This window comes from Homo sapiens, chromosome 1 (genome assembly GCF_000001405.40).
Source record: "Homo sapiens chromosome 1, GRCh38.p14 Primary Assembly".
In the NCBI taxonomy this organism is placed as follows: domain Eukaryota; kingdom Metazoa; phylum Chordata; class Mammalia; order Primates; family Hominidae; genus Homo; species Homo sapiens.
Genome location: NC_000001.11, coordinates 151,780,984 through 151,805,985, shown reverse-complemented (window position 1 = coordinate 151,805,985; position 25,002 = coordinate 151,780,984). Strand labels below are relative to the sequence as shown.

General features: G+C 46.7%; 2 protein-coding genes and 1 long non-coding RNA gene across 15 annotated transcripts in view, besides 1 other annotated feature; 2 read left to right on the top strand and 1 right to left on the bottom strand.

Moving 5' to 3' along the window:
* LINGO4 (leucine rich repeat and Ig domain containing 4) lies at positions 567–5,722 on the top strand. The gene is made up of 2 exons (NM_001004432.4): positions 567–756; positions 3,269–5,722. Exon 2 carries the CDS (start codon positions 3,282–3,284, stop codon positions 5,061–5,063), a length of 1,782 nt encoding a protein of 593 aa, NP_001004432.1. The 5' UTR covers positions 567–756; positions 3,269–3,281; the 3' UTR covers positions 5,064–5,722.
* A 5,861-nt stretch (positions 5,723–11,583) lies between these two features.
* On the bottom strand, positions 11,584–15,237 carry TDRKH-AS1 (TDRKH antisense RNA 1). 2 transcript variants are annotated; one of them, NR_146292.1, is made up of 2 exons: positions 14,741–15,237; positions 11,584–12,171 (listed from the first exon to the last, which is right to left on the bottom strand). It is a non-coding gene; the product is annotated as a TDRKH antisense RNA 1 (long non-coding RNA). The 2 variants fall into 2 exon arrangements; NR_146293.1 differs by lacking the exon at positions 11,584–12,171 and adding an exon at positions 14,316–14,551.
* TDRKH (tudor and KH domain containing) overlaps positions 15,452–25,002 on the top strand; it is a 24,049-nt gene continuing 14,498 nt past the window's right edge. For 4 of the 12 annotated variants that reach the window (XM_047441989.1, XM_017000126.2, NM_001083963.1 and 1 more), the window contains exons 1-3: positions 15,452–15,581; positions 22,937–23,087; positions 24,399–24,505. In XM_047441989.1, coding sequence (XP_047297945.1) covers positions 22,964–23,087; positions 24,399–24,505 — 231 coding nt within the window. In that variant the 5' untranslated portion in view covers positions 15,452–15,581; positions 22,937–22,963. Of the gene's footprint in view, positions 15,607–22,936; positions 23,088–24,398; positions 24,506–25,002 lie in introns of all 12 variants that reach the window. The other 8 variants (XM_017000123.3, NM_006862.4, XM_017000122.3 and 5 more) reach the window with 3 other exon arrangements.
* Positions 15,542–15,801: a silencer, noted in NCBI's record as "silent region_1326". NCBI's record gives its function as "represses an Ori minimal core promoter by ATAC-STARR-seq in GM12878 lymphoblastoid cells {active_cell/tissue: GM12878}" and the evidence as "EXISTENCE:reporter gene assay evidence [ECO:0000049][PMID:35858748]".

Below are 25,002 nucleotides of genomic sequence, written 5' to 3'. Positions count from 1 at the left end.
TCAGGTTTCCAGCTCAGCAATCCATCAGCATTATACAGATCCAACCCACCCTCACCCGACCCCTGCAGTTTCTCCCCAGGTGGAGCAGTCCCTCAGTGAGGACTGTGAACGAATCTTCAGGAACCCCCACTGTAGGAGCCTCAAACTGAGCCCCACGGGAGATGCTCTAGACTGAGAACTTCCCATAAATGATACCCACGGGGAACGTTTAGATTTAGAGGTTGCACAGAATTGCTCCACATCTGGGAGACCAAAAGACAGTCCTCTGGAAGGTGGCTGGCCCAAGCTCCCCAGTGGGGGAATCAGGATGTCAGAGAGATCCTCTAGAACCTGCTGTTCTTGCTATTGCATGACCCCTCCCTGGCACCAGAGCCTCCCTCCTGGCTCCCTCCCCTGTCACTTGCCAGCCTGTAGTGGTGCTTGCTGCAGCCCTCCCTGGTTGCTTTATTTATTTATTTTGCACCAACAGGGTTGCTGCAGACTCATTCTTGCCTGGTTTAAAAAGAGAGAGAGAGAGAGAGGAAAAAAAAAAAGGAGAAATGCTTTCTGGCTCTTTTCTCCACCTCAGTCTTGGCAGCAGCGGCCGCAGCAGCAACAGCAGCAGCAGCAGCGGCAGGCAGCAGCCGGGCAGCCAGGCAGCGGGGGTTGAGGCACACAGGGAAGGTGCAGGGGCCTGAGGTGCAGCTCGAATGGGACAGGGCCCCCAGCGCTGGACAGATGCAGTGCCAAACTTGATGCCACCTTCCAGCTTCTCCGGTAAGTGCCCCCACTCTCTGTCCCAAAGATGCAGCCGCCCTTTTCCATAACATTCTCCGAGACAGGCCAGACTAGGGGCCAGACAGGCCCCTCAAGGCAAGAGGGTTTGGGCCCCCACACTGCTAACAATTAATCCTGGCCCCATGGGACTTTGAGGGGGAAACTCAAATATCCCAAGTACCCCTGGGTGGAAGGGCTCCAAGGAGACCTCCCTTCCATCTCCCCAGTGCTTCCCCTTCCTCTGGAAGGGTTTTTCTCCACAATCGGTGTGGATCTTCCAGAAATCTTTCCCCCAGGAACCCTCTCCCCACACAGTTCCCATTTGTCAGTCAGGTGTGCTTTAAAGAGGATACAGGATACCCAGGTTCAAAAGTGTCTCTGGACTGCCACATAAAGACAAGAAAAAGGCTCCCTACCCTTGAGGGGTGATGCCTTCAAGGGTCATGTCTTGGTGATGTCCCCACCCCACTGAAGGGACAAAAAAGTGGTTCTGACATCTCGCTTCCTGCAAAGTGGCCGGAAGCCGGTCCTGCAGCCATGGAGGTTGGCAAGGGAAATTTGTGATTAAATTAGCCACCTTAGAAATAAAATAGGTTGCTCCAGCTCCCTCAGCCCCTGGCCCAGCGGACTCAGGGGAAACTCACAGGAGCAGGAAGGAAGAAAGCTGGGTTACATGCTTCACTGCACTTTTGCTGAATGCAGAGCGAGGATGGGCAGGAACTGCAGCAGTAGTGATGAAGAGCTAGCTGTCAGGTGGACTTCCCAGAACAAGCCTAGGGAGAACAAGGGAGGCTGGGCCATCTTTCCCGGGAGAGCTCTGGGCATGCCACAGAGACCTGTTAGGTCAGTTTGGGGCGAGAAGAGTCTGCTCTGCAGTCTTTGCCCCACGTTATTCTTTTTCATCCCCAAGCCTCACACCAGTTTTCTGCATCCCTCTGCTCTTTTGGCCTCTTTCTTTAGTTTCCCAACTAGGACAATCCTCTCAAGTGGCTGTAGGATAGCCACTAGAATGATCCTTCTAGGAGGTGGAGAGTGGGAAGGAAAGGGGAAGAAATGACCATCTCTTAAACTGCCTCTCCTAAGTTCCACATGAGAAAAAACAGGGCATGTAGTAGAAAGCTGACCCTGTAGAGCCCAGAGAGCCTGAAGCCCACAAGCCCAAAGGTGATCAGGATTGCCGCTCAGCAGAGACTCAGACGCGCTGTATCCCAGAGAGCATCCATGGGCTTTTGCTCCTATCTCTGTAGCCATCCCTTGCCAATTCCAGTACTTCCTCTGCCTTGGGGTCCCTGTTGACATCTAACAGGATGAGTCAGGGGCCCTCATCACCTAGAGGGCCCCTTCTCCTCTGTCACCTCAGCCATTGTAGTCACCATCTTCCTGAGGGTTCCCGGAACCTGGTACCCAGAAACTGACTATAAGTCTACAGGCTCTGCACACTGTCTGTGCCCAGATACCTGCTGTGCCAGCCAACGGCTCCCTTCCTCCCCATCCTACAGCACTTGGTCAGATGCTGTCTCTCCTCACTTATCTATGCTCCCTGGTCCACAATCTGTCTCTTGGGAATTTCTCAGGCAGCTCAGGCCAAAAGGGACAAGAGCTCTCCCTCAGATCCACACACTGGACCAGAATCCAAACACCATTAAGGAGGGATATGAGGGAAGCCCAAGACTGAAGACCAAGCAACAGAACTCAAAACCTGGGCATCCTTTGGGTCTCTCACACACCCCAACTTCAATTGCAGTAGAGAAGCAGTTGCCCCTGGGCTCTTGCAGGGGATTCCCAGCTTCCCAGTCAAGTGCCTCCTGCATCCTATGCCACAGCTAATGTACAGCTTGGCAGTTGTCCACACAGGCATTTTGGGGAGATTGGATCTTGTTAGTCCAGGGCTCAGGCCCTGGGCCAGGCTGGAAGAGGGCTCAGCATGGGGGTGGAGCTGAGGCCTGCATGTTTCCCAGCCTTGGGTGAGCTAGTCAAGGTGAGGACCTCTCCAGTCAGGACAGGGAACTCTGGGCCAAGGACATGATCTCCCTGAGCCTTAAGCAAAACTATGGGTACATAATGTGAAAGAATAAGCGTGAGCAGAGAGGGACAGAGCAGAGCTTGGGAAGAGCAGGTATCAGGGAGAAGGGACCTGAGATCCTCCTGGATCTCACAGACATCAGGAAACCCCATACAGAAAGACTCAGTACCTCCCTGCTGTTCCCTGCCCCATTCCCATAAGCTTTTTCCCCACAGAAATCAGGCTTGGCTAGGGTTCCATGAGCCAGTAAGCACTTGGCTGGTTATCCAGGGCTGGAAGAGGGAGGAAAGCAGAGATTCCCCAAAGAGAAGCTCCAGGAAGCCCCAGGGAGGTGGCACACAAGAATTCTTCCTGGTTCTGTGCCCTACTTATTGGCAATGCTGAGACAGATAGACCAATTTCTCTCCTCTCTAAGAAGGGCCAGGAAGTCCAGGGTCACCGTCATCTGAAGCCACTTTCCAAAAAGGGCCATGTCATCATCTATTCCAGGACTGAAGAGGGAATGGATGCAGCCACAGCTCCAAAGCAAGCCTGGCCCCCATGGCCCCCGCTCCTTTTCCTCCTCCTCCTACCTGGAGGGAGCGGTGGCAGCTGCCCTGCTGTGTGTGACTGCACCTCCCAGCCCCAGGCTGTGCTCTGTGGCCACAGGCAACTGGAGGCTGTACCTGGAGGACTCCCACTGGACACTGAGCTCCTGGACCTGAGTGGGAACCGCCTGTGGGGGCTCCAGCAGGGAATGCTCTCCCGCCTGAGCCTGCTCCAGGAATTGGACCTCAGCTACAACCAGCTCTCAACCCTTGAGCCTGGGGCCTTCCATGGCCTACAAAGCCTACTCACCCTGAGGCTGCAGGGCAATCGGCTCAGAATCATGGGGCCTGGGGTCTTCTCAGGCCTCTCTGCTCTGACCCTGCTGGACCTCCGCCTCAACCAGATTGTTCTCTTCCTAGATGGAGCTTTTGGGGAGCTAGGCAGCCTCCAGAAGCTGGAGGTTGGGGACAACCACCTGGTATTTGTGGCTCCGGGGGCCTTTGCAGGGCTAGCCAAGTTGAGCACCCTCACCCTGGAGCGCTGCAACCTCAGCACAGTGCCTGGCCTAGCCCTTGCCCGTCTCCCGGCACTAGTGGCCCTAAGGCTTAGAGAACTGGATATTGGGAGGCTGCCAGCTGGGGCCCTGCGGGGGCTGGGGCAGCTCAAGGAGCTGGAGATCCACCTCTGGCCATCTCTGGAGGCTCTGGACCCTGGGAGCCTGGTTGGGCTCAATCTCAGCAGCCTGGCCATCACTCGCTGCAATCTGAGCTCGGTGCCCTTCCAAGCACTGTACCACCTCAGCTTCCTCAGGGTCCTGGATCTGTCCCAGAATCCCATCTCAGCCATCCCAGCCCGAAGGCTCAGCCCCCTGGTGCGGCTCCAGGAGCTACGCCTGTCAGGGGCATGCCTCACCTCCATTGCTGCCCATGCCTTCCATGGCTTGACTGCCTTCCACCTCCTGGATGTGGCAGATAACGCCCTTCAGACACTAGAGGAAACAGCTTTCCCTTCTCCAGACAAACTGGTCACCTTGAGGCTGTCTGGCAACCCCCTAACCTGTGACTGCCGCCTCCTCTGGCTGCTCCGGCTCCGCCGCCACCTGGACTTTGGCATGTCCCCCCCTGCCTGTGCTGGCCCCCATCATGTCCAGGGGAAGAGCCTGAAGGAGTTTTCAGACATCCTGCCTCCAGGGCACTTCACCTGCAAACCAGCCCTGATCCGAAAGTCGGGGCCTCGATGGGTCATTGCAGAGGAGGGCGGGCATGCGGTTTTCTCCTGCTCTGGAGATGGAGACCCAGCCCCCACTGTCTCCTGGATGAGGCCTCATGGGGCTTGGCTGGGCAGGGCTGGGAGAGTAAGGGTCCTAGAGGATGGGACACTGGAGATCCGCTCAGTGCAGCTACGGGACAGAGGGGCCTATGTCTGTGTGGTTAGCAATGTCGCTGGGAATGACTCCCTGAGGACCTGGCTGGAAGTCATCCAGGTGGAACCACCAAACGGCACACTTTCTGACCCCAACATCACCGTGCCAGGGATCCCAGGGCCTTTTTTTCTGGATAGCAGAGGTGTGGCCATGGTGCTGGCAGTCGGCTTCCTCCCCTTCCTCACCTCAGTGACCCTCTGCTTTGGCCTGATTGCCCTTTGGAGCAAGGGCAAAGGTCGGGTCAAACATCACATGACCTTTGACTTTGTGGCACCTCGGCCCTCTGGGGATAAAAACTCTGGGGGTAACCGGGTCACTGCCAAGCTCTTCTGACCTTTCCTTCCCCAGTGGGGAACCCACCAAGTCCGCTTCAGATACCAAAGGGGAAGACAGAACCAAGGCTGCTTGAACCAGAACCTAGTCCCGAGCAGCACCGCTCTCCTGCACCTCCCGCCTGCGTTGTGCCTCCTGCCGGAGAGTCTGCTTCCTGAGCTTTTCCGGTCTGAGGATAGCATTGTCATTTCTTCTCTGAGGGTCCCAGGGAGCTGCAGATGCAGACCCCGTCGTTAGTCCAGCCCCTGCTTCACCCCCTCCACACACAAAACAGGAAACATAATCAAAGCGCTAGTCAGCTAGTCTAACCACTAGGCTTTCTTCACACATGCTTATATCCTTTAATAACCAATTGCCAACCACGGCTATAAGATTATTTCAGAGGTGGGGCTGGGAAGTGCCACTTGCTCCTTAGAGTCTGTTTGTCAACCAGGCAGAGTCCCTTTCTTTTCTGCTCCCCACCCCAACCCTGCCCCTATGTACAGGAATAAGAGCAAAGGACCCACAGGCTACAGAGAAGAGGATGGGGACAGAGTGTGGGATGGAGAGGACAGACCATATACTGCACTGTGTTTGCATGAGCCTCTACCACCTTCCTCTATCTACCAGATCATTAAACCTGCTGTCAAAGGGCCACAACAGTAGCAGCCAAAACTAAATGTCATCTCTGGAGTTTTCTTTACTTCAGTCTATTTCCTACCCTCATTTCTGTTATATCTCCCCAGCTCCTTCTCTTTCTGCTTGCCCATTGATTATGTGTCCCAATGGCATTGCCTCCATCTAACCTGCCTGACAAACAGGGTAAGGAGTGCCCCTCCCACCTTCACTTTCCTCACCGCCCTGCACCCCCACCTCCATGCCCGGAGGGATCAGCACTCCTAGCCCCGGTTTCAGCCTCAATCCTTTCCCTTTCACTCCCCATCTCTGGAACTGGAGAAGGAGCGATCCTCTACCTTCCAGGGGACCCCTACATAGAAATTCCACCTGGGACACCCAGTTGCTGCCTCTCTTTCCCATTTCTCCATGGGAGCTCCTCATCATTTTTGCGTCACAGATCCCTAGTGCCCTTGGGGAAAACTCAGAACTCCAAGATAATGACTAACAAACACAAGAATCCGCAGTTGTCAAAGGAGAGAGACCCAGGACACTGCAGAGACTAGGCTTGGAGGAACAGGGAGGAGGGCACAGCAGGCTGTAGTGAGAAGTGGAGGGAAGGGGGAACAGCAGTAACTGCCTGCCTAGTTAATTTCCACCATCCTTCTGCAGCTTCCTCTGGTTCTGTGCTTAGTGCAGCCCCAGTGGGAAGCTGTCTCCGGGTAGAGGTCACTGATTTACAGAGACCCCCAGATGGGGAGGTGGAGTAGGAGGTGAAACTGCTGAGTACCACTGACTGTGCTTCAAATAGAGGGCAAAGCAGAGCCCAAAAAGAAGTAGAGATGCTGGAAGCTCAAGGAACAGAGCAACAGCCTCAGCATCACTGGAAGGGAGGAGTGACAGGGAGAGGAGAGGAGTCGGAGGAGGGACTGAGAAGGGAAGAATCACGTGGCCCTAGGGAGCCTTTCTGCGCAGTAGCATCTACCCAGCGTCCTTAGTTTCCTCCCACCCACCCCTACACCAAACCAGATGCAAGCATTGTGAGCTTTCTAGTTGATTCCTGCTGCTGTTGTCCTTGCTCTGAGGAGACTCCACTCATTAGAAGATTCCCAGCTCAAACTGCCCGACAGATGAGACACTCAGAGCCACTGAGGAGGTGAAGCTGGACTTCACAGGCAGGCCGCTCTTTAGTGGGGCAGAGATAGGAATATGGGGGTAGTACCAGAGGTGAATGTGAGAACCAGGCAGACAGGAGAGTGGGGCTGGAGAAACTGACCTGCTTGAGAAACGAGTTTCCCTGAGCCTGCAACCTCCCCACCCACCATGCACACACAACTCAATCAGCATCCCAGCAACTTCCCCTTCTTTAGTGTATAATGTACCAGACAGATTTCCTGGGGCACAGCCCTCCCGCTCCTTTCCATAACCTTCCACCAGCAGCTTATTAGGTTGGGACTTGGGAGTCAGACGCTGAAGGTTCTCACTCTAGTTGCCCTCTCTGCAATGCGGAAGCAGCAATGCTGTTCAGAGAAATCTTCTCTGGGAAGCCCCTGACGCTCTGGGGAACAGATGACTGTCTGGTGCTGGGACATGCTGCTGCCCAAGGTCTCTGAAGTCTCAAAGTCTCCAGAGCAGAGCTACCCAACAGACACAGAATCTAAGTCACACATGTAATTTCAAATTTTCTAGTAGCTACTAAATTAAAAAATCAAAATGAAACGGATACATTTAAATACTTACTTTATTTAACCCAATATACCCAAACTATTATCATTTCAATATATTATCAATATAAAAATCAATCATAAAATATTTAACATTTTTTCATATTAGGTCTTTAAAATCCAGTGTATATTTTACACTTACAGTACATCTCAACATCGCAATTCAGTTACTAAATTTTCACCAGAAAAATCTATATTTCATACAGGTCACTGTTGAGAAAGTGGATTCACACATCTAAGTTTTTTCAAACATAAAACATTTTCCAATAACTGAATCGAATCTCTGTCTTAAATTTTAAATTAAACAAATTTAAAATTCCATTCCTCAGCTGTACCACCTACCTTTACAAGCATTCAATAGCCACATGTGGCCAATGGCTACCATATTGGACAGCAAAGCTTCAGACATTGCAACCTGGCGTATAGACTAAGGTCTCCTTGGCAGTGGTGGGTGGACAAAGTATCCCTCAAGAAACACATTTAATCTCAAGGAAATGCCTATGGAGTTAGTCCCACCACAGCCCCTTAGTCTCCTTTCACAGCTTTACCAGAACACTTTTGAGGGGTGAAGCCCATTCAGGAAACAAGCTTACTATGATGAGCACTTCCACAGCTTGTCCAAGCGTTAGCATGCCAGTCCCTCATCTTACCTGTCGGGAAGACTGCCCTCAGCTCAGCTGTGATGGCACAGGCTGCTGTGTGTGTGCTGATGAGTGTGCAAATGCAGCCAAGGACATGAGTGGGTGGTGTGTATGCAGAAGTTTTGTGGCCCATGTGCAGGGATGTATGGTACCACATCATGGGGACAATCTAATGGAGGCTCTGCCCAGGGTGGGACAGCAGTTCAAAGAGAAGAAAATAACATTTATTGAGGGCCTATTCTATGTCAGTGGCTTTATATATATTTTCTTATTTAATCCTTACATCAACCCTATAAAGTAGAGAGGCATCTTAGCTGGTGAAACTAAAGGTCAAAGAGAGTAAGTGCTCAAGTGCACAGAGCTAGTTAGTAAATAGTAACTAGCTATTTGAGCTCATGGCTGTCTGATTGAAAACTCCCCCTTTCCACCACACTGCCATCCTCACTGCCATGCCCTCACGGCTCTCTCTCCCAGGGCCTTTCAGTTGCAGGACACGACCTGTAAGAAAGGAGAAATCTTCCAATGCATCCACTCTGAACTTTCAGTGGGGACTGGGCTAAGTTATTGGTCCTTACATTCTTCATTAACTCTAATGCACCTGATTCAGGATGTTGGGGTTTTTCTTTGTTTTTACTCTTTCTTCTCAGTCCCCTCTCCCAATGTCCTTACAGCCTCTGCCTCAGGGACTGATAGAAAGGAGCAGAAATTCCAGGGAGTAAATGGACTTCAGTGAAATGCCTGGCTTCCAGCAAAGGATTCTCTGAAATGGAGGCTTCACATTTCCTAGTTCTTTTCTGGGTTCTAACCTCAACAACCTCCTAGGTTAGAGAGAGGTTGCACAGATTGGTGGAACAATCTGTGAGCTACTTCAGATTGGAGAAGAATTTGACTCTGCCTACCTTCTGCCTACCCCTGCTTGACAGAACCTTTCTGAGGACATTCCATCCTGCTCTCCTTCTACCCCTCTCTCTTCCATCTCAGACATGGTCTTACCTAAGCTGAGAGAGAACTCTGGACCCAAAGATGCTGTGGCACCATCTCAGCACTTCACATTTCCTTCCCCCATACAATCTTTCTCTATTTCTGACTTCTATTTCCTGTGCTGTGCTGGATCCCTGATTCAGGAGATGAGAGCCCGGCTAAGCAATGATCCTCAACTTTTTTTGAGTCACAGATCCCTCTGAGAATCCCTGATGCAAGCTGTGAACAAAAATGTTTGTAAATTATCCAGTTATTCTGAAGCCATCACAGACTCCATAGAATATAGGTTAAAAATTCTGCTATAAGAAGCCACAGGTTGCAGCAGAAACTGAGGCCTCAGGCCACCTTTGCTCCCCAGGGTCCATTAGAGGCAAAGAGAAAAGGCTGAGAAGGACTACCGTTCAAAGTGGATGTTAGCACAGGTAAGAGCAGGTATTACAATGGGCCCAGCAAGAAAACACACAAAAATGCTCCATCATTCTCTCCTCCCCTGTCCCCTTCTCCCACCAGCACCCATCTGAGGGAGAGGCAAGAGACTTTGGGTGGAACTCTTGCTGTAAGAAGTCAGTACGGTGGTGACTCAGGCTGGAGAGTATCTGAAAACAGGGACTCCTGGGTCCTGTTCCTCCAAATTGCTTCGTAAGGGGAATTAAGTAGGAAGATAGAGCTGGGTGGTGGTGGTCAGAGAGGCTGAGGAGAATTCTTTCCTAGGGCATCTGCCACAATTAAATCTGGCCTAAAGATTGAATAGTAGCACCAGCATAAGTGAGGACACTAAGGCTCTGCTCCCAGTCGCTGGTTTCTGGTGAAGAGGCTTAAGTGGGGAGGAGGGGGTGACTCCTACGATGGGCAACAGGAGAGATGAGTGCTGTTTTTCAGACTCAGACAGCTGAACAGCACTTGAATGAATCATTCGTATGTTGTACAGGGAAGGAACTCTGTGGGCAGCCAAGGCTCCGGAGCCAGGCTCCTTGTATTTCAGAGCCCCTCACTGCCCAGATCCCTAGCTAAGATCTTCTTTCCTGCTTCAGTTTACTAAAGGGAACACCTGCTCACTGAACCCTCTGGGAAACCCAGAACTTATCTTAACTCACTCCACCTAATGCCTCCCACAGCCTGTTCAGAACACCCTTCAGGGAAAGAGAATAGACTCTTAGGACTGGAGATGAGAATAAAGAAATTACAATTCACTCAATCCCAGCATCTCACAATTCAATCTTTCAATCCTGATTTGGGATCTGAGAGGAGAAATGAGATGACAAATCCCAAATGTACAGTGACTTGAGGGTGAGTTTGGCATCAGCTCACTCGAAGTTATTTCTTCTGCTCCCCAACCTCCCTACCCAGCAAGTTAGAATTCAATCTGATTTTAAAATAAGATCAAATAAATCTCATTTTAAAATAAGATCATAGTGGCTCACACCTGTAATCCCAGCACTTTGGGATGCTGAGGCAGGTGGATCACCTGAGATCAGGAGTTCAAGATCAGCCTGGGCAACATGGTGAGACCCCATCTCTACTAAAAATACAAAAATTAGCCGGGTGTGGTGGTGTGCACCTATAATCCCAGCTATTCGGGAGGCTGAGGCAGGAAGATCATTTGAACCCGGGAGGCAGAGGTTGCAGTGAGCCAAGATCGTGCCACTGCACTCCAGCCTGGATGATAGAGTGAGACTCCATCTCAAAAAAAAAAAAAAAAAATCCGGGAAAAGTGATGCCACCTGGCTTTTCACTGCTCTGATTAAGAAATTCCTCCTGTGAGGCTGAGCACACTGACTCACTCCTGTAATCCCAGCACTTTGGGAGGCTAAGGCAGGTGGATGCCTTGAGCCCAGGAGCTGGAGACCAGCCTGGGCAACATGGTGAAACCCCATCTCTGCTAAAAAGACAAAAATTAGCCGGGTGTGGTGGTGCATGTCTGTAGTCTCAGCTACTTGGGAGGCTGAGGCAGGAGGATCGCTTGAGCCCGGGAGGTGGAGGTTGCAGTGAGTAGAGATCATGCCATTGCCCCAAGCCTGGGCAACAGAGCAAGACTCTGTCTTAAAAAAGAAATAAATTCCTCTTGTGGTTTAACTATAAAGTGTAACCCCCTTTTTGGACTTCATTTCCTCTTTTTTGCCCATCCCACCTTCACTGGAGCTAGAAGAAGATGGACCCATAAAGTAGGTCTGTATTTTTATAGCAACACTGGACACATTCTTCCTTGGATTTGAACTACCATTTTACTTTTTTTAAAGTAAAAATAGCTATAGCAATCAAGGCACTCAATACCTAGGAATAATTTTAATAAGAAGTATGTAAATTCTACATAATGAAAACTAAAATTCTACTGATGGGGTACCAATGACTTGAATGTATAGGAAGATAGGAAGATTCTTATCATACATTCTCCTTTAGATAATCTAAAAATATGTGATTCCAGCCAAAATAACAGTAACAGAATAGAAGAGTAAATTATGGTTCAATATAGCCTCACAATATTATACCACACAGTAGTCAGAATGAAGGGACTAAAACTATACACAATATGGCTGAATCTCACAGAAATAATTTGAACAAAGGAAGCCAGACACAAAAGAGTACATACTCTGTGATTCTCTTTATATAAAAAGCAAGAACAGGCAAAATTAGTTTATGGTATCAGGAGTCAGAAGAGTGGTTGTCCTTGAGAAGAGCAGTGACTGAGAGGGAACACACAAGTGGCTTCTGGGGCACTAGCAATGTTCTGTTTCTTGATCTGCTGCTGGTTACACAAATGTATTCCATTTGTGAAAATTCATCAAGATATATACTTGTCATTTGTGCATTTTTCTGCATGTATATTATAAATTAATTTTTTAAATTGTGGTAAAAAAAAAAACCATAATGTATACAATTTAAAAAATTTTTAGGCCGGGCGCAGTGGCTCATGCCTGTAATCCCAGCACTTTGGGAGGCCGAGGCGGGCGGATCACCAGGTCAGGAGACCGAGACCATCCTGGCTAACACGGTGAAACCCCGTCTCTACTAAAAATACAAAAAATTAGCCAGGTGTGGTGGTGGGCACCTGTAGTCCCAGCTATTCGGGAGGCTGAGGCAGGAGAATCGCTTGAACCAGGGAGTTGGAGGTTCCAGTGAGCCGAGATCGTGCCACTGCACTCCAGCCTGGGTGACAGAGTGAGACTCCGTCTAAAAAAAAAAAAAAAAAAATTAATGATCAATGGAACAAAATGAAAAAAATCCAGAAATAGACCCAAATACATATGGCAATTTGGTATTATAAAGGTAGCATTCAAAAACAATGGAGAAAACATGGGTTATTCAATAAGAAGGATTTGAATAAAACAAAACAAAATTGGATCTCTATCTCACACCTTTACACCAAAATAAATTCCAGATGAATCAAATATTTACATATACAAAGACACTATCAAAGTACTTTTTAAAAAAACATAGGAGCTTTAAGAATAATCTTAAATAGTGGGAGACTTTACTAAAAATTATATGAAACACAGAAGTTGGCCAGGCACAGTGGCTCACGCCTGTAATACCAATACTTTGGGAGGCTAAGGCGGGTGGATCACTTGAGGCCAGGAGTTTGAGACCAGTCTGGCCAACATGGCAAAACTACTCCGAGTCTACTAAAAAATACAAAAATTACCCAGGTATGGTGGTACATGCCTGTAATCCCAACTACTCAGGAGGCTGAGGCACGAGAATCTCTTCAACCTGGGAAGCAGAGGTTACAGTGGGCCAAGATCATGCCACTGCACTCCAGCCTGGGCGACAGAATGAGACTCTGCCTCAAAAAAAGAAAGAAAGAAACCCAGAAATTATCAAAGAAAATATTGATAAATTCAATTACATAAAAATTTTTAACATTTGCAAAGAATAACCATAAACAGGCTGAGGGCAATGGCTCAGGCCTGTAATCCTAGCACTTTGGGAGGCTGAGGCAGGCTGATCACCTGAGGTCAGGAGTTGGAGACCAGCCTCAAAATATGCAATATACATAGAACAAACTTGGAAAAGGGAAAATACTTGTTATATGTATAAACAATATACATAGAACAAACTGGGAAAAGGGACATACTTTTTTTTTTTTTTTTTGGAGATGGGGTCTCGCTCTGTTGCCCAGGCTGGAGTGCAGTGGCAATCTCGGCTCACTGCAACCACCGCTTCCCCAGTTCAAGTGATTCTCCTGCCTCAGTCTCCCAAGTAGCTGGGATTACAAGCGCTTGCCACCATAACCGGCTAATTTTTGTATTTTTAATAAAGACGGGGTTTCAGCATGTTGGCCAGGCTGGTCTTGAACTCCTGACCTCAGGTGATTAGCCTGCCTCAGCCTCCCAAAGTGCTGGGATTACAGGCGTGACCCACCACACCTGGCCGGGGAAAATACTTTTAACTTATATACAAACAGCAAGTATTAAGAAATGACCCTATAACCAATAAAAATATGAACAGAATATAAAAACAGAGAATTTACAAAAAAATTGCCATTTAAATATATTAAAAGATGCTCAACTTTACTTATAAGAGCAATGAAATTTTATCTTGCAATGAGATAGCATTTACACTATCAGATTGTCAAAAATCAGGAAGTTTAACAGCACCAGTGTGCTATCAAACAGGTTCTTTTCATACATTGCTGACAGGAGACAAAATTGGTAAAATTTCCAGGGAAGGCAATTTGGTAATACTAACTAAAATCATTTTCAAAAATTGCTGGTGGGATTAAAATTATAAAAATCTTTGTGGGAGGAAGGGAATTTACAAAATTTTATCTATCCAAATGAAAAAACAATGCACACATTTCTTTAACTTGGCACTTGCATTTCTAAGTATTTATCATACACATATGCAAGAGGGAAATGAAGTATCCTTGCATATCAATCAAATGTTAAAGGACTGGTTAAATATATCTTCATATATCCCTCAGGCATACTATGAAACTATCACTATGAGGCAGATACGTATATGCTGCTACGGAAACATTTCCAGACTGTATCAAAGAAAGTTGCAAAATAGTATGTATGTTATCAACTGGGTTAAAAAAATATATGTGTGTGTATATATATATACACTTTATATATTACACATATACACACGTTAACTATAGAATATCTTGTGAAATTTTTCACAAGAAACTGGTAACCCTAGTTGCCTTGAAGGAAGGAAAATTTATTCACTATAATAACCTTGTTTCTTCTGAATTTTGTAGAATGTAAATGTATTACTTATTCAAAACGCATACACATTTTTATATTAATAGAAAGCAAAACCTGAGGCCCAAAGGCATCTGCCTAATTGACAAAAGATACAACCTTGCGTTCTTTCAGCAAATATTTATTGCTCATCACCTGCCAGGTATTGTGATGGAAGCTAGTGCGGAAGATCCCCCAATGACCAGGATCGCCCGACCCCTGTTCCCAGGGTGAGCCCCTAGCGCGGAGCGGGGACAGGGTGGACCGAGTAGGGCGCAGTGCTGGTCTCGCGAGGCTCCCTGCCCCACGGAGGCAGTAGCAGGACCCAACCGTTCCTAACCGTCCAGGGACCAGGACAGCGTCTGGAATAAAATCTTCCAAAGCAAACTTCCGCCTGCGGAGACCCGCTCCCTTCCTCGCCCCCACAGAAACGCCCCCCGCCACCACCCCCTCCCCCGGCGTAGGCCTTCACGCTGTCGCCTCGACCCGTTTCCTCGAATCCCCAGGGAAGGGTGGGCCCCTGGCGCCCCTATGGCCCGCCGCCCCCTTACCACCGCGGTCGGAGCCCGGGTCTCACTCTCCTGCCGCTGTTTCGGGCCACACCGTGTGTCCGTGCCTCCGCAAAGGAATAGAAGAGTGGGTCCTCGCTCTCTGCGGCGCACCGCTTGTCCCTTGACTTCCTGTCCATCTACAAAGCCTATTTCATGTTTTCCAGAAAGAAAACGTTTTCCGTGTCTCTTGAGTCCTCATCGCCATATGCGGGGCGGGACCGATCTATGCAAAAGATCGCAAGAGAAAACTGATGGAGCATCGCCCATCATGAGGCTGCTCTCCCGATGGTCACTGAGTTGTGTTGTGGCACTGTCTTTGTACAAAGACACCAATTTTTGCGAACGGTGCCACTCATGATTCAACGCTCTCATGCCTCGGTCCCAGCTGCTGGAGCGCAGATTTTCCTCCAAGGGTTAGAAGATAGAAAACTCCTCGGTAATTGGCCTAGAGGTGGTCTGCGAGGACGCCGGGAAGCTTGTAATTGGCTGTTTAATTCTCAGCAGGTGCGGTCTCAGTTAACAACATCTGCTTTTCCTGGATCTTATTGGCTGACAGGGTGGGCCTGCTTTGGATTCCATCCGGGTAATTGGGCAGCGGCTAGCAGCAGCCACGTCGCTCAGGGGCAGCCCGCGGAAGGATTGGTTGTGACGGGAGAAGGCGATTGGTCGGACTGCGAGCAGGGTGTTGATTGGTGCTGTCGGGCTGCGGGGGCGGGGAAGTGGCGGCTGAAGCGCCGCCGGCGGGGCTCACTGTGGTGGTGTGAGTGGGAGGCGGCGGCGCTGGTGGCTGCAGCTGGGGTGAGGCGCGAGGCGGCGCACTCGACGGCTGACTGGAGCAGCGGTAAAGGCGAGGATGGAGACCGAAGGTTTGGGGAGTGGGAAAGACAGGGTCATGGGCAGCCCTGGCCACTAGGAGACGGAAATGCGGGAGCGAGGGAAGGGAGGGGTCTGGCGTGCCCCGGGGCGAGGGAAGGATGTGGGGCGCAGCGGGGGAGTCAGAGCCCTGGGCTGTGAGACGCCGCTCGGGGGCAACTTGACCCACTGGGAACTCGTAACTGTATCTGAGGAAGATGCTCCAGTCACCCGCTTACGCCACAACGGACCCGGTGCGGGAGCGTTTGTGTTTGCCCTGAGTCAGTTCAGACTCTTCCACTGGGCCTTTTTGAGACTGAGAGCTGCCATCCGTATATCACTTTGCCTTTAACTTTCCCCAGCTTTTTCTTTAGTTATCGCTAATAGGATGGCTGTTTACAGTCGTCAGAATAATACATTGGGGTTTTTGTTTTTCCAGTATCCCTCATTCCTTAATCCAGGTATCATCGTGGGGGTTGGCTGGAGACCCCTATTTCAAAGACTGACTTTTAGACCCTTTCCTTGTTTTGAGAGAAAGGGGTTGACACTTTTTTTTTTCTCGTGAATTTAAAATAAACGTACCAAGGATGAGAACATTGAGCTGCTTCGATTCAAGCATGTCACCATGTTGTAGGTTCTTTGTAGGTTCTGGTTATTAGGAGATACTGGAATGAGTTATCTATGCTTTCATGGAGCTAACAATGTGATTTGACTTCTCATCACATCCTATTTGACTCCTGTCATTTTAAATGATAAAGTAAGCCTTAGCGATGCATATCAGATAGTTTTTGGCAATTGTTCAATACAAATGTCAGGAAATTTCAAAGTTAGCTTTCACTGAAAACCATTATCTAACCACATTCCTCACTGAACAATGATCCTCATCTTCTCTTCTTAGCTTCCCCTAGAAACTGTGGTCTTAAGTTCTAGTATTTTCCTCCTTCCCATTCAATTTTTAAGTAATAAAATCAAACACAAGCTAGCAGTCAGTACTATGCAGTTATCCCCGTTTACATTATATTATTTTCCATTTCTCTTTAAGAGAAACTTATAGCTGAAAGGATATGAAAATTGTGAACAAAACCATAGTGACAGATCAAGTAGAGTCTCATTTTTTGAGACATCAGCTGATAACTCAATTAGCACAAATTCATTTGTAATGTTTGAAGAGGAGTTAGTGAAATTTACCTTTTGCTTCAAATAGAAGTCGGCCAAAACCGCACCTATAATCTCAGCTACGCCGGACGACTGCGGGAGTTCAAGGCTGCAGTGAGCTATTATCATTCACTGCATTCCATCCTGGGTGACAGACCAAGGCTCTGTCTCTAAATAAACAACAACAAACTCTCCAATTCATCTGTTCTCCATCTCCATCATTGACACCTGGACTAGGCCCTGATTGGTCTCCTGCAGCCACGGTTGCTGCCTTCAATTCATTCTCCTCACCACGGACACAGATGTTAATCAAGAATGACAAGCATGGCATGTGTTATCAAGGGATATTGGGGATTCTGTGGAAACCCATAGCAATGTAATTCAACCCAGTGTAGGGGGTCGAGATTGAGGGGCCTTGGCTGCAGAGACCCCTCTGCACTTGATCTTGATAGTGTCAGAACTGGAAAACAAAAGTGCTGCTAGTCCTTTGGGCCTCTGTAAAGAGGTGTGATTATGACTGGCCATCAAAACAGACTTATTTCTATTGCACACTGTATTGTGTAGAAATGACTAATGAGCTGTGTGATCTTAGATCAATCCTTTTCTATCCCTTAGCCGCAGTTTCCCAAATTGCAACGTTATTAATGGAATCAAATAAGTTCTGTAGTCCCTTCTAGTTATAAAATCTTGTGATTTCTATGCCCCATAAGCATCAATTATGGCCAGTTTTTAAAAGCAGACAGCATGAAAATACAGATCCAGTTTATTCTTGTTCACAGGGCTAGATTTCAGTTTCCCAAAGCCCTTAAGACCTAAAGACTCCTGCCTGTCAAGATCTTCCTTGCCAGACAGGAAACTCCATGAAGGCAGCTGCCAAATCTATCTTGACTGTTGTGTCCCGAGGGTCAAGCACACATCAGAATTCGATATTTATTGGCTTGAATAAATGTCCATTTAGTGCAGTTCATTCATGTAGTATAGGTTTGCGGAAGAAAAGTGAGTTGTATTTTAATGAGATGATTTTCAACTATACACCATCTAAGAAATAAACCTTAAGGTTCTAGCTACTTTCAACTGTCGCATTGACCAAGAATTTATACAGTTGTCCCTCCCTTCGTTATTTGCAGGGGATTGGTTCCAGGAACCCTGCAGAACCCAAATCCATAGATGCTCATGTCCCTTGTATAAGATGCATATTATTTGTATATAACCTACACACATCTTGCCCTATACTTTTTTTTTTTAAACCCCTTGAGACAAATTCTCGCTCTGTTGCCCAGGGTGGAGTGCAGTGGTGTCATCAGTTTACTGCAGCTTCCACCTCCTGGGCTCAAGCCATCTCCCACCTCGGCCTCCTGAGTAGCTGGAACTACAGGTGTGCAACACCACGCCTAGCTAATTTTTTTTTTTTTTTTTTTTTTTTTTTTTTTGTAGAAACAGAGTCTCACTATGTTGCCCAGGCTAGTCTTGAATACTTGGTCTCAAGCAGTCCTCCTACCTTAGCCTCTCAAAGTGCTGGGATTAACAGGCATGAGCCACTGTGCCCAGCCTGTTTTGGTGTTTATGTTTCCTAGACTATGAATATTTCCAAGTAGAAATTCTTCTTCCTCCTTCTGTCCCCAACGTGCTCAGCACACAAGAAAGAGCTAGCACTATTTAACCAAGATGCATTAATAATGGAAACAAGCTTTGCACTTTAGTGGTCATATAAGAAAATACCTAAGCCAGGCGCAGTGGCTCACGCCTGTAATCCCAGCACTTTGGGAGGCCGAGGTGGGCGGATCATGAGGTCAGCAGTTCGAGACCATCCTGGCCAATATGGTGAAACCCTGTCTCTACTAAAAATACATAAATTAGCTGGGCATGGTGGCAGGTGCCTGTCGTCCCAGCTACTCATTAGGCTGAGGCAGAAGAATCGCTTGAACCCGGGAGGCAGAGGTTGCAGTGAGCTGAGATCGTGCCACTGCACTCCAGCCTGGGCAACAGAGTGAGACTCCGTCTCAAAAAATATATATATCTAAAGTAATCAGGGGACAAAAGAAGTCAAATTCTTTCTAGACACCAAGAATAAACCATCTCAATGTAGGAAAGTAGCAGTTTGGGAGGTGTGTATTCAAGAATTATTTAAGTCAAAAATCTCCTTTATGAAACAACTTGTTTCCTTTCCTTTGGTATATACAACGATGCTTATATAATACCATCCAAACTTTCAGGATGGTGAAAGCTTTTATTTGCAGTGTATTTAAAAAAAGAGAAGCTTATCCAATGACTTGGGAAAAGAACCTCATAAATGAAAACAAACAGCCTACATTAACCTCAACCCTTTCTGTCCTACATTCTAAAAAGGTCGGGAGAGAACAGTATTCCCTCAGATTGATAGTCTCTAAAAATGATATACTGAATTCACTGAGTAACTAATGACCCAAAATAGACGACACCCTTGAAAAGAGGTACCCATCCCCCACCTCGGGTAGTAAAAGGCCGTTTTATTATTTGCTCAGGCTTTTGAGTCCGGGCAAGAAGGTGGATTAAATTTGTTTAAAACCAGGATATAGAAAAAATAGATTTGGCAAACTTCTGGTAGTTCTCTGAAGAACTTTATTCAGTTCTGTTGATCAGTAAAGCTGTGAGGCCAGATGCAAATTCTGGTCATCTGTATGACAGTGTAGTAGTCTACCCTTCTCCGTGGTTTTGCTTTCACTTACCCATAGTCAATCCTGGTCCAAAAAGATTAAATGGGAAGTTCCATACGTAAACAATTCTTAAGTTTTAAATTGTGCACCATTCTGACTAGCATGGTGAAATCTCCATCCTGGCCCAGACGAGAATCCTGCCTTTGTCCAGCATATCCATGCTGTATATGCTACCCGCCTCTTAGTCACTTAGTAGCCATCTTGGTTATCAGATTGAAAAAACCTATAGTTTTCAGTACTCCAAGGCATCCACTGGGGTTCTTGGAACATATTCCTCGAGGATAAGAGAGGATGACTGTTGTAAGAAATCTACCTCCAGCCTCCCTTACCTGACTATATCTGCTCCTCAGTGAGATTTCGGTGCTAGATGTTCTCCTTTCTCTCTTTACTCTTCCAGATTGACTGTGCTTTCCCTGAAAGCCTAAGTTTTATTCCACAGTAGGTTTTGTATTAATGAGTATGTTTTTAGCCTTACCAGGATATAGCCAGTTTTTCCCCCCAGGGTGAAATACATTTTTGTTTATTATAATTATTTGGGTTGAATTTTTGTACCTGGAGGTAAATTATGGCATAAGTTACATTTACTCATTTTTAAGCAAATCTTATTTAAAGCCAGCTTGCTTTGTTCTACTAGATTGTAATATCTGGAAATACAGATATTTAGTTTTCAGTTTTTTATCACCTATCTTTAGTTTTTTAGTCTTCAGTGTTTTTTTAACCACCTACAGTACTTTCTACCAGTATTAATTTTGAATTGAATATGTTGATCAAAATAAAGAATAAAAATACAGGTGCTGTTACCCTAAGAGCTTAGGTAAAAGGAAGAGTGGGGAAGGATTTCTAAAATCACTTTACAAGGTTTTTTACAAGCAAGAATAACCCAGACTCTGGGTTAGAGATTAGATAACCTCTTCAAGCATGGGTACTCTTCTATGGGATTAATATTTCCTGCCTTACAGGGTTATATGACTGTAAAATAAAATTATGTAATTTGCCTGGCATAGTAGCTACTCAACACATTATCTCTTCATTTTTGTGTCTTTAGTGCCACAGTAGCATCTAGCACATAGTACTTACTCCAGCTCTTGTGTTGAGAATAAACTGAATGGACAATGGCAAAGGCAGGAACGTAATTAAGCAATGCAGTAATCTAGGGAAAAGATAATGGTGTTTTAGAGCAGGGTCATAGAACTGCAAAGAGAAAAAGTGGTCAGATTCTGGATGATTTGAAGGTAGAGCAAATAAGATTTGTTGACAGGCTAGGTGTGCAGTGTGAGAGAGAGGATGACTAAGGGAGTAAGAGAATGCAGTCGAGGCAGAGCACAGTGGTTCACACCTGTAATCTCAGCACTTTGGAAGGCTGAGGTTGGTGGATCACTTGAGCCCAGGAGTTTGAGACCAGCCTGGGCAACATGGTGAAACCCTTTCTCTACAAAAAATACAAAAATTAGCCGGGCATGGTGGCATGCACCTGTAGTCTCAGCTACTGGGAGGCTGAGAGATGGGAGGATTGCTTGAGTCCAGAGGTTGTGGCTGCAGTGAGCCATGGTTGCGCCACTGCACTCCAGCCTGGCAACAGAGAAAGACCTTGTCTCAAAAAAAAAAAAAAAAACGAATTGCCATTTGCTGAGATGGCAAAGATTATGGGAAGGGGGTGAATCAGGAGCTCAGTGTTAAGTTTGAGATGTCTATTAGACATCAAATGGAGATCCATGTAGGCAGTTGAGAAAGGTCCTAAATGGATCTATTAATTTGGAAGTTATCAGCATCTAGATAGGAGTTAAAGCCAGTCCGTGAATGAGACTTGAGATCACCAAGAAAGTGAGGTAGAACAGAGAAGAGGGCGAAGGACAGATCCCTGAGGCACTCCAGTGTTTAGAGGTTAGAAAAATGTGAAGAAACCAGCAACTGGGAGACTGATGGAATAGCCAGAAAGGAAAGAGGAAAACCAGGAGGGTGTGCTATGGAGAATGTGTTTCAGAGAAGAGGGAATCATCAGCTGTGCCAAATACTGTGGGGACATCTGGTAAGATGAAAACTGAGAATCGATCTTTGGATTGAGCAGTATGAAATCATTGGTGACTCTGATGTGAGCAGTTAGAGTGGATTTAAGAAGAGAACTTGAGGACAGATATATTGACACTCGAGTTTTCCTTTAAAAGGAAGAAAAGAAATGGGAAGTAGTTGAAGTGAAATCCAGGAAGGGTTTTCTTTAAGAACAGAGAATGTTTGTCTGCTGATGGGACTATCCAGTAGAGAGGAAAGAAAACGTTAATCATGTAGTAGAAGCAAGGAGAACTTGTGGAGCAGTGCTTTTATGAAAGACTTCAGTGCTAGGAGCAGAGACAGTTCATCTGTGGTCACAGGAGAGAACAGCAAGCATTTAGGCACAGGTGGAGGAAGGTGGGCAAATGTGTAGAAGCTTGTGGATATTTTCTCTGAATGCTCTCCTTTTTTAGTGAAATAGCAAGGACCTCAGTTGAGAGAGGTTGGAGGAGGCAGCACGAGACGTTTGAGTGGAGAGGGAGGCTGAGAAACTATGTGGAATAAGGAAATATAATGAGGAACATGTTAAAATTTGCTTGGCAGCAAAATGAAGATACAGTGTCAAAGAGAAACTCAGCACAAAAGCCTGTAAGAAGTCCACTGCTGTGGTCTAAATAAGATTTGAGCTTCTGAATCAGGCCAGATGCAGCATTGTTGATGTCATTAGCATATAGGTAGTAATTGAACCCACATATGTGGATGAAATGGTCTAAAGAGAGCAGAGTGACATTAACAATTGATGGCACAGGATGAGAAGCCCAAACTTGGAAGGACCCTCCAGGGAAATAAGAGGAAACCAAGAGAAAGAGGGCACAGAAACCAAGGAAAGAGTTTTGTGGAGGGAGTGGCCACCTTCCTGCTACCGCAGAGAGATGGGTGAGATAAGGCTCCATGCATGACCTGTAGGTTGATTATCTGGGAAGTTACAGTTTTGGCGATGGAGCAGGGAAGAACCCCATTTCACTGTTCGTTAAGGAGTAAATAAATAGAAACCAAAAGTAGAGACAGTAAATGAAGACTGTACTTCCAACAAAGATAAATAGTAAGGCCTTTACTAAGCCTGGAATGGCATTTCTTGCAGAGGCAGCAGCTTCTGGAAAGCCCTGGAGGCATAAAAGGACTTAGATAAGTAATTTTAAATAATTTAATATGAAATCTAAGTATATATATTTCAAATATTTGATTCATTTAATTTTTTTTGTCTTTTAAAACTGACTTGGGTGGGGAAAGTGAAGTATGCTTCTATTTAATTCTATGTGTACCTTAGCTAACTTTTAAAAAATACCCTGAGCCCTTTTTATATGAAATAAATTTTGAAATTGCTGAAGCTCTTGAAATTGGAAGGTAGGCAGTAGTAGTCTTTTCAGTAATAATGTGCTCCCATGCCTCTCTGCTATTCATAAAAGGATTGGATGAAACCTCCCTCTTTTCCCTGCTTTGCTTGTTTCAGGATATAAGTCAAAGAGTACAGCAGAAAATGTCTACTGAACGGACTTCTTGGACAAGCCTGTCCACCATTCAGAAAATAGCCCTGGGCCTTGGGATCCCAGCCAGTGCAACAGTTGCCTATATCCTATACCGCAGGTATAGGGAAAGCAGAGGTACGTGAACCCTATGACTGTGTGTGTGAAAATGTTCAGACATGCTCCTGCCTTGTTAAATTGAAAAAAACTCTTTCCTTGCCAGGTATTGTGTGTGTTTTGTTTTGGGGTTTTTTGTGGGGTTTTTTTGAGACAGGGTCTCACTCTGTCACCTAGCCTGGCGTACAGTGGCACAATCTTGGCTCACTGTAGTGTCGACCTCCTGGGCTCAAGCAATCCTCCCACCTCAGCCTCCAAGTAGCTGGGACCACAGGCCTGTATTTTTTGTAGAGATGGGGTTTTCCCATGTTGCCCAGGCTGGTCTTGAACTCCTGAGCTCAAGCAACCCACCTGCCTCGGCCTCCCAAAGTGCTAGGATTACAGGCATGTGCCTCCATGCCTGACCCAGGTATTTTAATTGACTTTCTGTGAGGAATCTTTGACTAAAATTATTTAGTCTTTTTTTTTTCTTTGAGACAGAGTCTCACTCTGTCGCCCACACTGGAGTGCAGTGGAGCAATCTCGGCTCACTGCAACCTCTGCCTCCCGAGTTCAAGCAGTTCTCCTGCCTCAGCCACCCTAGTAGCTGGGATTACAGGCGTGTGCCACCACTCCTGGCTAATGTTTGTATTTTTAGTAGAGACGGGGTTTCACCACCAGGGTGGCTGACCTCAAGTGATCCACCTGCCTCGGCCTCCCAAAGTGCTGAGATTACAGGCATGAGCCACTGCACCTGGCCTAGTCTTTGCTATGTTCTTACATAGCAAAGTAAGCTAGTCTATGAAATGAACTCATTTTATAACTCCATTGATGTGCTTTCTTCAGCAACATCAACACAGCAAAGAGTTCTTTTTTAATTTCTATACTCATCTTTTTTATATATTCCTTTTCTCTAATTAGTTGTTAGTAGAAGGCACTTACCTCAAAGGCTGGATCTAGAGAATAGGACCTAGAGAAATGACTTATGTACCTATCAGTCAGGAGAAGTTCTGAGCCTAATGGACCCCTCAGGTAACTTTTGGCCTTCATTCTTCTCCAGTAGTCATGTCTTGGGAGAAGTAGTTTGCCCAAACCCCAGCACCTGTTTATTGCAGAATCTGCTTTTCCCATTTTAGCATCTGAAACAGTGTCCCAGAGAAAATGCCCATCTCTGATCCTTTGGGACCTTCTAATTCCCATTCAGATGCCACTTTTCCTTGTTGTTATGGTTGAGATCCTCACTTTATCTCTTGGATCAGTGTCTCTTTGACAGCCAGATTCTGGGGAGGACTGGTAGTTATACTAGCTTTGGGTGTTATCTAAGTCTGATCTGATGAACAATGATCTGTGCAGAAGAGCGGCTGACATTTGTTGGGGAAGATGACATTGAGATAGAGATGCGGGTTCCCCAGGAGGCTGTGAAACTCATCATTGGCCGGCAAGGAGCCAATATTAAACAGGTAAGTGTGTGAGTAGGCAGTCTGCTTTCCCAAGGATTGATTCTGTTTATTGATTTCTTGTTTCCTTCCACTGACCCCATATCACAAAACATTCACATGCTCTGTGTGTGTGTGTATGTGTGTGTGTATATATAAAATATATATATATATATTTTTTTTTTTTGAGATGGAGTTTCGCTCTTGTTGTCCAGGCTGGAGTGCAATGGCACGATCTCGGCTCACTGCAACATCCGCCTCCTGGGTTCAAGTGATTCTCCTGCCTCAGCCTCCCGAGTAGCTGGGATTACAGGCACCCGCCACCACGCCCAGCGAATTTTTGGTATTTTTAGTGGAGACGAGGTTTCGTCATGTTGGCCAGGCTGATCTCGAACTCCTGACCTCAGGTGATCCGCCTGCCTCGGCCTCCCAGAGTGCTGGGATTACAGGTGTGAGCCACTGGGCCCAACCACTATGTATATTTTTAAAAGAACAAATAGAGGAACTTTTTAGCTAACTAA